This window comes from Homo sapiens, chromosome 13 (assembly GCF_000001405.40).
Source record: "Homo sapiens chromosome 13, GRCh38.p14 Primary Assembly".
Classification (NCBI taxonomy): Eukaryota; Metazoa; Chordata; class Mammalia; order Primates; family Hominidae; genus Homo; species Homo sapiens.
The window spans coordinates 75374542-75389075 of NC_000013.11; the positions used below are offsets into that span (position 1 = coordinate 75374542).

At 37.0% G+C, this 14534-nt stretch overlaps 1 protein-coding gene across 10 annotated transcripts in view, besides 1 other annotated feature; it reads right to left on the minus strand.

Moving 5' to 3' along the window:
• Window positions 1-14534, minus strand: part of TBC1D4 (TBC1 domain family member 4) — a 198667-nt gene that overhangs the window by 91039 nt on the left and 93094 nt on the right. The window lies entirely within an intron of this gene.
• Window positions 10816-10865: an enhancer, noted in NCBI's record as "active region_7824". NCBI's record gives its function as "activates an Ori minimal core promoter by ATAC-STARR-seq in GM12878 lymphoblastoid cells {active_cell/tissue: GM12878}" and the evidence as "EXISTENCE:reporter gene assay evidence [ECO:0000049][PMID:35858748]".

The following is a 14534-nucleotide window of genomic DNA, read 5'->3' on the forward strand; positions in this document are numbered from 1 at the left end:
TAATGATTACAGCAGTGCTTCCATTATAATCAATGAGACTGAAGATCAAAGAAAATAAGGAAATCTGTTCAGTGGTTCCTAACAGTTAGCCTGTATAATGTGATAATGGGGCCTGAAATAATTTTCATCAAAACTCCCAAACAAAGGATTTATCTGAGCTGCAGTCTTGCCAAATTTCACAACTTCAAAGTCAGAAACCAAATTCAAAGCAAACTCGCAGCCCTCATTTTTTTTTCACACATGGACTGCTTTCAAGAAAGAATAAGATGAGCCCAATTGTAAATCATCTATAAATGACGTATCAGCTATAATAGACACTGTTTTGTCAAAACAGCACCCACTTCATTTAGAACAAATGGTTTCAGTGGATGCTGCCAATCCTTGCACCCTCCCCCAGGTCCAATCTTCCCATCCACCTGCCTCCAAAGTAGCCACAATAAACTGCAAGTAATCCAAGCTGGTCCAGTGACAGGTAAAGAGGTGCAACTGGCATGTGACCCAAACCAGGTAATGTGAGTTGCTCCCTAATATTTTTCCAACAACAGAAGACAAGACACAGCTGTGTCCCATCTGAAGCCACAAGTATTAAGGAAATTAGTCTGGTACCATACTCCTTCACTGCAGAGAGCAGTCTGCAGTAACAAAATAAAACCAAGAGGAAAATGAAATTAGATCCAAAATGTGGAGAGACAGAGTCCTAGTGGGGTCCAGTCCCTGGCTGTGAACATCCTTAGAGGTGTGGTAAATGAGCTCTTCGTCTCCTCCAATTCTGGGGGCCACTCCCAGGGTCCTTTCACATAGGTGATAGTTTTCACCCTTGTGTCTAAGAGTTCTAACCAGTACACAACTCTGGGAGAATATATATTAACACAGTAGTTAAAGAATCAGTTAATGTTATATATAACCTGTTGAACCCAATCGTTGGGATTGGGTTCATCTGCAATGACTGAAACCCAAAATAGCAATTGATTACACAAAACAGAAGTTTATTTCCCTGTCACATGAAACATGAAAGTGTAGTTAGGGGTTTGGGGCTGTTTTCATCATGGTACTTCATCGCTTGTCATTAAATATCAAAGGTGCAGGTGCCTTCTATCTTGTTTCTCTGTCTTGGGGACCTCAACTCCATGGTTTAAAATAGTTGCAACTGTATTCCAGGGAGCAGGATACAAAGAAGGAATTAATAATAAGAAAAAGAAATAGAGGACATTCCCCTACTGCCCCACCCCCCCCACACACACACATAATGGATTCTCTCTTATTTAAGGAAGGTTTCTTAAGCAAGCTGCCACAAAACAAATCTACTTACACCCCAGTGGCCAGAAGCAGGTGCACTCCTAGCAACAAGAGAAGCTAGGAAATGTAGTCTTGACTCTAGATAGCCATTTACCTAGTTCAAAATTCCGTTACTAGAGAAGAAGGAAGAACAGACAACAGGAACAACCTGTATTCTTTTCATAATGATCAATTATGCATTCGAGACAAGGCAATACATCAGAGCTCTTCAACGAAGAAAAGCTGGGGATAAATGCAAGTCAAAATATTTAAGTTACGTATTGCTTCTAAAAAGAAAGAACTCAAGTCAAAGCTGCAGAGATATGTCCTTAAGAAAAGTAAGGCTGAACTAGGTGTTTCAAAACTTTCTGAAATTGAAAAAAAACAAACAAAAAAACCAGAAATCTTATGATCAACCTTCAAAGACTGTCACAGGACTATTCCTTTCCACCCAAAGATAACAAAGCACATCTGATGGTAATATCATTAAGCTGCATCTACAGACATACTGAAATTTATAAATATCTTTTCCAAATACAATCATGTTCTTCTGGTGACATTTTTTTTTTTTTTTTTTTTGAGATGGAATCTCACTGTGTCACCCAGGCTGGAGTGCAATGGTGCGATCTTGGCTCACTGCAACCTCCGCCTCCCGGGCTCAAGCAATTCTCCTGCCTCAGCCTTCTAAGTAGCTGGAATTACAGGCATGTGCCACCATGTCTGGCTAATTTTTGTATTTTTAGTAGAGACGAGATGGGGTTTTGCCTTGTTGGCCAGGCTGGTCTCGAACTCCTGACCTCAGGTGATCTGCCGGCCTCAGCCTCCCAAAGTTCTGGGATTACAGGCATATGCCACTGCACCTGACCTTCTGGTGACTTTTAAGTAAACTTTTACATTTCTATAGAAACAGTAATAGGGCAATAACCCACAAGTAACCATCTAAAACTTACTTCAACCAGTAATATGTTTCTGTATGTATTATTCTGGTACAGTCACAGAGCAATGTAATTAATCAATAACTATAATATAAATTAAATTTCTTAATTTCATTTCAGCTTACAAATATAGATCAATGCATTCCAATAGGCCAAACACAGAGAATAGCACCACGTGTGTAACCAGCATTTATCCTGTCACAAAAATTTACGAGCCACTGAGGGTTAACTGTGTTGTTTACAACTTTTCATTTTAATCATTTGGAGCATGTATATACATCTCTGTCTTCATAAACAGTACATATTAGCCATAATATAAATTTTTCTGTCTGATTCAAAGTGTGAACATCAAGTCTTCAGTGCAACACAAGATTCTCTAGTTCCTAGCCAGCTGCTAAATAAATATCAAAAACTGTTGGCGCAGCACAGTGGAGAACTTTAAACTTCAAACAGAGTGAGGCCGTTAAATGGCAAATAGGCCCCAGATTGTATCCGGGAAACATACCTTTTTATGAAAGCTGGAGCTCTATGTGAATGACAGCTAGGGCCATCTGCTACTTGTGAGACTTTGTTCTCCAAAACCATAGAACGAAGAGGTCTGATATACAAATTATTTTCTGATTCTCTGCTAACACCATGCTTTGAATCTGCTAACACCATGCTTGTTTCTAGAAGAAAATGTCTCAGAAATTTTCTTTAATGCAGGTTTCAAAATGGCCCTGAAAGTCAATGGGAACAAAAGGGCCCACATGCAACAATTATGTGATGCAAATACCACTGCACCATCCCATGGACACTACAACTATACCTCAAACACAAATGAGCAAAAACAAGACATTCGGTTACTCTACTAACTATTCAAGTATGACTTCACTGATAAAGACCAACCCAAAAATATATATTATATATATAATATAGATAAATATTCTGATTGGTCTTTTAAATATATATTATATATATATATATTTTCTGATTGGTCTTTATCAGTATGTGTGTGTGCATCTATCTATCTATCCATTTATCTATCTATATTAAACCAGGATCTTTCTATCTACCTATCTATCTACATATCTATCATAAACCGGGCCTGATAGAGTTCACTGGTGAATCTTTGCTACAATGAATATATAAAAGTAGCATACAATTATATATTAATGGCATGCAAAATATACTTCTAATTGCTACAAATTATTTATTGCCTTAAGTTTCTCTTTCAAATATAAACATGATTTGGGGGTTTCATACCTTAAAAGTTTCAAAGCCATAAATTACAATTACTGTAATATGTTAAAGAGTAGTACATTAGTACTATGGCTATATGTGGCTTTTTGTTAGTGTAAAATACATCAGCATGATTTTACTCCATATCTTTTGCTCAATCTTTGCCTTTGTTTTCCACACATACCAGCTTATGTAATAAACGCACGTCAATATATTTTAAAGTTCAATTTTACTAAAAGTTGGTTTAAGTTATTGAAAATTCTTCAAATGCATATTAACTCTATATTAATAGCTAGAAACTTTTGGAATGTTTTGTTTTAAAATGATCAGCTTTTGAAAAAAATACAAAAATCACCTACTCATTCTTATGTTGCTTCCTCTTGATCTCTAGATTTTCATAAAATTCCATGGTTAGAAAAAGGAAACAAAGATCACTGAACTAATTATCTAAACAATGAGAGAAAACATTAAATGGTGTAACAGATTTGTGCTCGGTAGTCATCAGTGATACAGATGGAAATCTGGGCATGACAATAGAATTTTCTCTTTTGTTAACTGAAAAGATAAACAGATACCTAGCTCTCTTTTAGTGTAGGAGTTAGCATAATGAAGGGAAAAAGTTGATCACAATGATAGCTGTGTAGGAATGAGGACCTATGCTAAAACTTTTACATTCAATAATTCTTATTCTCACAACTATCCAAGATAGGGCCTATTACTTCCACTGTGAAAATAAATTGGTCTATCTTCTCAATTTTTCTATACTTCTAAATGTGCTCTAAAAAATTATCTATTAAAAACTAATAAACTGGAAAACTGATGGCCATCAAGTGTTTGTTTCAAGTTTAGAAGATTCACATCAAATACATATCCAGCTGAAGAAAATAAACAGGTTTTGAATAGAACTTAGAATCTAGAATTTCTACAATACCTTTCAAAGCTTCATATTTAAGCTTCTGCAAAACGTTCAACATTTGCAGTATGGCAGTTTTATAACTATTGATGCAAATTGGGTGAATTTAGTATTTAACAAGTCTTACTTCTATTTTCAGGTACAAAATGAACTAATTTAGGTGTTGAGCAACATTAAAAAAACAGTATATAAACATCTCAATCACATAACATCATGACTGAATTTAACCTCAGAAACTTCTACAAAGATCTTCTATAAATTGCTACATGATAAACAAGAAAATTAAAATCCAGAGAAGCGAAATGACTAGCTCAAAATCACAAAGCTAAATTATTACTTGATTTACACAAACGTGAATTTTTATACATACACACATGCACACACACACACACACAGCTTTTCAAGATATGTCTAAAAAAGTACATCTCTAGTGTTCAATGAAATCAATATGTGCAATGACAAATATTATCAAAATGTATGACAGTATATTCATTTGTGTTACTGTCTTTTTAAAGTCTGCCAACCTCACTAGATTTCAAAGAATATGACAGCAGGAAAATATATATTTTGTTCACCACTAAATACCCCATGTCTGTCACAATGCCTAACATGAGTTCAATACTTAATAAATATTTGATGACTGAATAAACACTTTAAGAATCCAATAGCCTCTTCTGAAACATGGAATCTCATAAACCAAAATGTCGATTTGACTTACATCTATTACAAACATAGCACAGACCAACCTATTGAGCAAAGACTAAGCACTATTAAAATATTTCATGGTTAATTGACATTAGAAGTTCTTGAGTCCTTAAATAGCCTCATGTCAGAAAATGATTATCAGTCTCAAAGAGAGCCCTTTCACTCTCCTGGGTCAGCTAAAACTCCCAGTTTTAGTTGATAAAAATCAACTAAACAACACATTTACCATTATTGATAAAATTAAGATAGCTAAAAGAAAGCTAGTGTTGAAGTATATCAGTTTTGTTCATCTGACTCTTTTTTTTTTTTTTTTTTTTTTTTTTTTTTTTTTTTGAGAAAGAGTCTTGCTCTGTTGCCCAGGCTGGAGTGCAGTGGTGCAGTCTTGGCTCACCGCAATCTCTGCTACCCAGATTCAAGCGATTCTCATGCTTCAACCTCCGAAGTGTCCCAGTTAACCTTTGTATTTTTAGTAGAGACGGGGTTTCACTGTGTTGGCCAGGTAGGTCTCGAACTCCTGGCCTCAAGTGATCCACCCGCCTCGGCTTCCCAAAGTGCTGGGATTACAGGCGTGAGCCACCGCGCCTAGCCTCATCTGACCCTTCTATTAAGAGGCAGACATGCCTGTAATCCCAGAACTTTGGGAGGCCGAGGCGGGTGGATCACCTGAGGTCAGGGGTTCAAGAACAGCCTGACCAATATGGTGAAACCCCATCTCTACTAAAAACACAAAAAATTAGCCGGACATGGTGGCTGGTGCCTGTAATCCCAGCTACTCGGGAGGCTAAGGCAAGAGACTCACTTGAACCCAGGAGGTGGAGGTTGCAGTGGGCCGCGATCACGCCATTGCATTCAAGTCTGGGCCTAAGAGCAAAACTCCATCTCCAAAAAAAAAAGGCAGACACTTTTTAAATCTGTCTGTCTCTAGAACGGTAATGAACTAGATAAGATTTTTTTTTTTTTAATCTTCAAGGCATGAAACACTGAATTTACAAACAATCAATCCCTATTTCCTTCATTTCACCTTCTCGGCATTTTATGTTCCCACACGTTAACTCTACCTACGTTATGTGAAGAAGTGAAAAAAGGGAGAATATTCACACCTTCTTATTCTTTATCATGGTTTCCACAAGACCACCTCCTATGGGAGTCCTGACAAAGCTAGCCTAATGCAGTCCCCATAATTTCTGGTGTTATGCCACTGGAAGAGTTTTCATCATCACCATCCAAATGAACAGAAGAGGAGCTTCTGTTCTAGAAAAAGATCCTTACCTTTCCCCCTACCTTTTTTTAACTCCAAAATGCCCTCTCTGTAACATCTACTATGCCCAATTATAAATGGTCAAAATTTTACAGTAAGACAGATCTGGGTTCCATTCCCAGCTAGATCACTTACTATGTGATTTTTGGCACACTTTTAAAACTCTCTTAACTTCAGTATCATCCTCTATAAAATAGGGATAATACCTGTAACCTATAAAAACTGTGAGAATAAAGTTTGTATAAAGCACCTAACATTGTATCTAACATAGGTTCTTAATAATGTTAATAAAGTGGATGAATTAACTTGTAAATAAAATTAATAAATATTAACTATTTTTCTCCACCTCCTCTTCATTATCAACTAACTCCATGATGTACAAAAAGTCTCCAATTTATTATGAGGAAATCATCATGTCCCACAAACACCAGTCCTTCCTCACCGTCCCTATTTGTCCAGTGGGTGAATGGCCTATAACTGCCACTCAGTCATTCACTGTCGAAATAACTATACCTGGCTTTTCACCATCAGTTTTAGGATTTCTAATTTTAAACAAATTGTAAGGGGTAATATATTTGCCTATATCAAGTAATAGGATTTCTCCAATGATTTAAATTTCTTGTGTATGCTTAAAAAGAAACAGGGGCATACCAGAAACTGCTTCAAACTGTTGCTTCAACTTTTCCCCAATAAAAATTTGACTTGAAACCTCTAGCACTTCACCTTGAAATGAACCCCCCACCTTCAGTTGCTTCCTTATTGCCCAGATATGAGTCAAAGTTATTGGCATCCCCAAGTCTGTGCCATCCACAAACTACTATCATTGCAGGTTCAGTCAAATCAAGAAACATTTATTGAATTTCTTCTCAGTGCAACCAGAACACCAGAGGCCCTAAGTATGCTAGGCGCTAAGCATGCAAACATGAAAATGAAATGGTCTCTCTTCGCTGATGGCTCAGACTCTAAAATGAATAGATCCAAACACACAAAATAATATACAATGATACAATGAAATAAGTGCTGTACGGCCACATGTTTACAGTACCAATCTATGGAGATAGATGGGAAATTAATAAATGAAATACTAGCAGACAATATACTAGAGACACAACATAATATTTGTAACAGCACAGAAAGAGTTGAACACTAGGAAACCCATTGAGGGAGGCTGATTCAGTAAAAGGGAATCTTTTTAGGATGGGGAATCTCCAGCACTTTTCTACTTCAGGCTCTCATTAGCTCTTTCCACTTGGCGATTAGCTCTTTGTTAATATCCTCACCTCCAGCCTCTCTCCTTCCCCTTGGCTCTCAAATCCACCCTAAACAATTCAGCCAGATTAATCAGCCTAAATCAAAACATGCAGCCTCTCATTCCTCTTATAAAGTTTTTCCCAAAAGGTTTAACCTGTGAGTGTCCAATGTCTATTTACATGAAGTTCCAATTTGGAGACTAAGCATCCATGACTCCCAAATATCATTCCAGGTTTTTCTCTCACTATCTCATTTCAAATAAATTACACTGGGCTGCTTGCTGCTTCCTCAACACTGCTCCAACTTTTTTCCTTGACACCTTTGCATATACTGGTCTTTCTGCCTACAAAACTTTCTTTTCGAGCTCTTTAAAATTGTGTTATTCAATATGGTAGCTTTTAGCCATGGGTGGAGATGAATTTAATATGACTAGGAAAAAGATGTTTTAATTTGAATTAACTTTAATATACATTAAAATTTTAAAACAGATGCCCTATTCAGTTATTGGAAAACTTTAAAGTATGACTGGAACAAACTGTATGTGAATTTTGTTTTTCAACTGTTAAATTTTATAAACTCTATATTTAGATCACATATTTCCAGTGAAAAGTTAGCTTCTGAATTGAGATGTGCTATGTGCTTGACATGTAAAATGCAGAGTCAATTTCAAGGACTTAGTGTGAAAAATGTTAAATATCTCAATAATTTTATATTGATTATAATGCTGAAATTACAATATTCTGTGCGTACTGGGTTAAATAATATATACAATTCAAATTAATTTCACCCGTCTCTTTTGACTTCTTTTAATCTGTTTACTAGAAAGTTTACATGAACCTCACATTATATTTTAATTGGACAGCACTGCATTAGAATTCTATCTCTGTATACCCTTTAAGGGCAAGTTAAATGTCATGAACTCTATCAAAAGCCTATCTTCGGTCGAGCACAGAGGCTCACGCCCATAATCCCAACATATCGGGAGGCAGAGGCAGGCGGCTCACTTGAGGCCAGGAGTTTGAGACCACCCTGGCCAACATAGTGAAATCCCATCTCTACCAAAAAATACAAAAATTAGCAGGGAGTGGTGGTGAGCACTTGTAGTCCCAGCTACTCGGGAGGCTGAGGCACAAGAATCACTTGAACCCAGAAGGTGGAGGCTGCAGTGAGCTGAGATTGCGCCACTACACTCCAGTCTGGGCAACAGAGTGAGACCTTGTCTCCCCAACAACAAAAACAACAAAAGCCTATCCTGAATTCTGAATTCTTTAAACAGAATTGATCTTACCCTCACCTCAACCGTGGCTATAGTAGGCACTCAACCAATTTATTTATTTACTGAATAAATGACTAAAACATTTTGTTTTTATCCTCATTGCACTTAATACATTTGGACTCGTACAGTAGTCCCTCCTTATCTGTAGTTTCACTTTCTGTGGTTTTAGTTACCTGCAGTACAGTACAATAAGGCATTTTGGAGAGGGTCCACATTCACATAATTTTTATTACAGTATATTGTTATAATTGTTCTGTCTTATTATTATTGTTGCTAATTTCTTGCTGGGCCTATTAAACTTTACCATATGTATGTATGTATGTACATATGTACAGGAAAAAAACAGAGTGTAAATAGGGTTTGGTACCATTCACAGTTTCAGGCATCCATGAGGGGTCTTGGAATGTGTCCCCCACTGATAACGCGGGGCTACTGTATATAACTGGTCTTCTTGCCTTATGTCTCCTACAAGATTCTCAATTCCTTGCTGAGCACTCATTCTTACTTCATCATCTATTTCCTGGGTACATGGCCTACCAGTTTTCCTGAACTATTCTTTCTCATCTGCTGCTCTCCAGCTCTTAAACCATTTCAAAACTTATCTCCGAGGAAGGGGGAGGGATAGCATTAGGAGATATACCTAATGTTAAATGACGAGTTAATGAGTGCAGCACACCACCTGCACATTGTGCACATGTACCCTAAAACTTAAAGTATAATAAAAAAAAATAATAATAATAATGATAAAAAGAAAACTTATCTCCAGGCCAGGTGCAGTGGCTCACGCCTGTGCTGGGATTACAGAATCCTAACACTTTGGGAGGCTGAGGCGGGCAGATCGCTTGAGATCAGGAGTTCAGGGCCAGCCCGGCCAACATGGTGAAATCCCGTCTCTACTAAAAATATAGAAATTAGCTGGGCATGCTGGTGGGTGTCTGTAGTCCCAGCTACTTGGGAGGCTGAGACAGGAGGATCGCTTGAACCCGGGAGGCAGAGGTTGCAGCGAGCTGAGATTGCTGCACTCCAGCCTGGGCGACAGAGCGAGACTCCATCTCAAAAACCTCACCTCCAATGAGCTGCATATTCCTTTCTGGACACCCTGCAGCACTACATCCAGTCAACCTGACAGTAACTTTCCAGTTTCTCCAAAATTCTACTTTAATTTGGGAACCAGAAAAGATAAAGGAAAAAAAAAAAGTTTCTTTAAAAAAAAAAAAAAGGTTGCCACCGCAAAATACAGGAATATGAGCCCAAAGATTTGAAAATTCAGTGATGATAACATATTTCTTTACATAAATACCAGCTAAATGGTTTTCTTATGATTAATCTATGAATTTGTGGGCTGATTCAGAAAAAAAAGAACTTTGGAAAGATTATTCCTTCCACAACTCTGAAATAAACAAACAAAAATCATCCTTAAATGTTTAAAACTCCAGTTATGGTTAAAATAACTGAAGAAAAATCTTTCTGAAACCTCTATGCCTTTATTAAATATTCTTAAAAATTTTTAAATTTTATTGCCTTATAAATATTGGATAAACACAAATGCTTCTTTCAGCCCAGTGAATAAAATGTGAAGAACATAAAAACATGACTAATAAATCTTCCATGCAAATTGCCCATAAGGCACATCAGCAGATAATAAGATGTCCTCAGAGAAGGAGGAACAAAGAGGAACAAAGCATAGACTGCTCACTGCTCAGCAGCCTGGGAGGCCTATTTGCTCACAACTCCCCTCAAAAAAACTTCCCTCCATGGCCCTTCCCAAAGGCACCCTAACCCAGAGCCTGTGGCAGCAATGCACACCTCTAAATCACCCACAGCAACCCAGTGCTTCCCCCTCACAGCACTTATGGCACTATATTTAGCCACCCAATGGCATCTTCCTCTCCCACAGATGTGTCTCATGCCCCTTACCTATCCCAAGCACAAGGCCTAGCACATGGCTCCCACGCAAAACGTTTGTGAAGTGAACTAACCAATGAATAAGCAAGCAAAGAATCAAAGAGAAAATGGTGGTTCTGCTCACCCTCCTAGATCACAATACTAAACAGGTTCTTGCCTGAACCTAGAGTGTTTTCATATGAGAAGACAGTATTAATCAAATTAAGAGTGTCACCTGAAAAGCAGGTGCCTGTTCTAAAAAGAGACGCTGATAACAGCCTCTGCGTGACCATCGCTAAAGCAAATACATGAACAATTTGAACGTGAGTATCTGGGAAAGTTAGCTCTTTGCAAATAATATTTGCTATGAACTTACGTGTGCACTTTCTAGATAATAATAGCTATCACTAACGGAGCACTTACGTGCTGGGCACTGTTCTAAATGCTTTATATATTTTATCTCCTTTAATCCTCACAACTATCCTTTGATCCTTTGAGGTAATTCTATTATTATCCTCATTTTACTGATAAGAAACTGTCCTATATTCTGCTAATTTATTGAACCCACTCATAAAATCATGTTAACTGGATCAAGAAAATGAATATGACATTTTCCAGTCTTGAGATGATAACATCAAAGACTATGAGATTAGAACAGAAACTAGACATCAAACACTGCATTTCTGTGACAGTGTTTGCTTATGATTAACAGTGTGCACCCTAAAGCCCTCGTGTCCTGCTATGAACCTGAACAATTTATAATATTTTTATAAACATCATAAGTTTAATTGTACCCTACAAGGCTTACCCATAAATACTAAACAGAAAACAAAAGGATGAGTGAAGTTAACACACTGCTGCATTAATGAATATCAATATCTACTGGGCCAAGCTACCAATGAGACCATCTTAAACATATAAATGCCAACTACTGCATTAAAGCCTTGAGCAATAAATTTGGACCAAAAACCATGACTATCATTTAGTAGCTCTGGAAAAGAATGCAATGAAAGAGAAGTTTTCATGAATAAATTATACACTTTTTACCTGGCTTCACAGTTCTTATAAAAATGCATGTTGTAAAATAATAAATGTGCTTTTAATACAGATTTGCTATTTTCTTTTTCTTTTTCTTTTTTTTTTTTTTCAGATGGAGTCTCACACTGTCACCCAGGCTGGAGTGCAGTGGTGTGATCTCGGCTCACTGCAAGCTCCGCCTCTTGGGTCCACGCCATTCTCCTGCCTCAGCCTCCTGAGTAGCTGGGACTACAGGCATCCGCCACCAGACCTGGCTAATTTTTTGTATTTTTAATAGAGACAGGGTTTCACCACATTAGCCAGGATGGTCTCGATCTCCTGACCTCGTGATCCACCCACCTTGGCCTCCCAAAGTGCTGGGATTCAGATTTGCTATTTTCTTTCATGATACATGCTCATTGGGAAATAATAAAACCATAAAGACAAGTACAAATAAAAAAAACACTCATCCAGAGAATACCACTACTGAAATTTTAGTGAACATCTTTCCGCCATTTCTCAATATTAAAACAGTTAATATAGGTATAAAATTTTGAATACGCAGACTCATTCTAAACAAAAAGTTTTGTGATCTCCTTTTTGTGCTTGAAAACCTGGTGTAGGTATTTTTCCTTGTTGATAATTTAGATCTTTATCATTATTTTTCAAGTGTTTTCTAAAACAGCAATTCTCACTCTTGAAAACTGTTGAGAGGCCACTAAGGGCTTTCGTGTGTATGGTTTGATCTATCAATATTTATCATTTTAGAAATTATAACTGAGAAAATTTAAAATATTTATTAACTCACTTAATATAATCACAAATAATTATATAATAAATATTTTATGAAAATAGCTTCACTTTTAAAACAAAAAAGTTTGTGCAAAGATTTATATTAACATTTTTGTAATACTTGACTTAATAAAAGGTAGCTGGATTCCCTTATCTGTTTCTGCACTCAATCTGCCATGACATGAAGAACATCTAACGTCCCACAAGTATATATAAATGGAAAAGGGCAAATTTTCAGAGCTTTGTCAGATAATGGTTAATATTATCTTTTGACACTATCCACCAAAGAATGATCGTTCCTTAGAGGTTTGTGGCAATGCGAAATCTGAAACTATATCAGTGAACTTTCTACATTCTGTCCCATTGAAATCCACTTCTTTACCTTGCACTTCAAAAGAATCTTTTAACAATGCATGATTTTGTAACTCATACACTGATCTTTGGGGAAATATTGGTTCACTGAATTATGCAAATTTTGACATATTCTATTAGGTATTATCAAGACATCACATTCACTAATATCACCACCAATCTCATCAAAGTCTTCAGCAAACTATCAAGCTCACAGTGACAAACAGAAGTTTTTCCAAAAGTCTAAATACACCCTGTCAGTTGTTTTTCTTTAAGTGGCAAGATCACTTTGTTCATTTTCAAGACTATGTCTGCCTAACACCCAAGACTGAAGAAGCACATTTTGTTATGAGTCACTCTTTCAAGTAAAAATGGTGTTCCATGTAAAAGAGGCTAGTTCAGCTTACAACTTGTATTAGCTTTCTGTTACTGCCTTAATAAAGTACCACAAACTTCATTTATTACCTTACAGTTCTGCAGGACAGAAGTCTAGCACCAATCTCATCAGACCAAAATCATGGTGCTGGCAGACTGTGATACTTACTGGAATCTCTAGGGGAGAATTCATTTCTTTATGGTCTTCTTTCAGGCTGTCACCTGAGGGCTGTTCCAAGTTTCTAAAAGACATGCAAATTCCCAGCCTTGTGGCCCCCTTCTTCCACCTGCAAAGCCGGCAATAGCGGGTTGAGTCCTCCTCACATCACATCTCTCTGACCCATCTTCTACCTTCCTCTTCCCTGTTAAGAACTCTTGTTATTAGATTAGGCCCACTTGGATAATCCAGGATAATCTCTGCATCTCGAGGTCCTTAACTTTAATCACATCTGCAAAGTTAACTTCTGACATACAAGGTAATATATTCATAGGTTCCTGGGATGAAGGCAAGCACATATTTAAGGGGCCATAGTTCTGCCTACCACACAACTCAAAAAATTGTGCAAATGCTTTTCCTCTACATGAGCATTCTATTTGGTATGCCATTCCCATTTTCTCATGTATTATATTTTTAAAAATGTGTTCTCAAAGGTTAAATTTTAAGAAACTGAATAAATTCTACTGATTCAATAAGCAGATGAAGATCATTCTGAAGTGGGTCTGGCTGGGTTTTTTGCTATGAATTATTGATTGTGATGAATACAGTGACCACTAGTAGAGTTTGGTGCCACTGCATTGATACATGCTAAGATGCCAGTGGTTTCATCTACCATTGCTTTTGCACCATCAGTGCAAATGTCAACATGGTGAAAAAGACAAATAACATCTTAACATTATGATCAAAATACTTTTGACTTGCTGACCCCCTGAAAATATTTCAGGGAACCCCAGAGTTCTTCAAACCACACTTGAGTACTATGGTCCTCAAGTCTTCCACATGTCCACAGTAATAAAGTATGACAACACTGACCCAATTCAATGATCTGCTCACCATATGTGCATATAGGTTATAATTAAAATTTCATGCCTTCCAACATTGTTCAAACAGGCTCCAATACCAGCTCTCCAGTTTATTGGTTTGTGTAGCCTTGTACAAATTTATTATTAGCAGCTCTAACTTTAGTTTTTTGTGCATAAAGTGGTTTACTGATATCTGCTTCAAATTATTATTTTAAGGATTTGTGAAATTAAATGAGAGCAGACACATGCTTGGCGCATAAG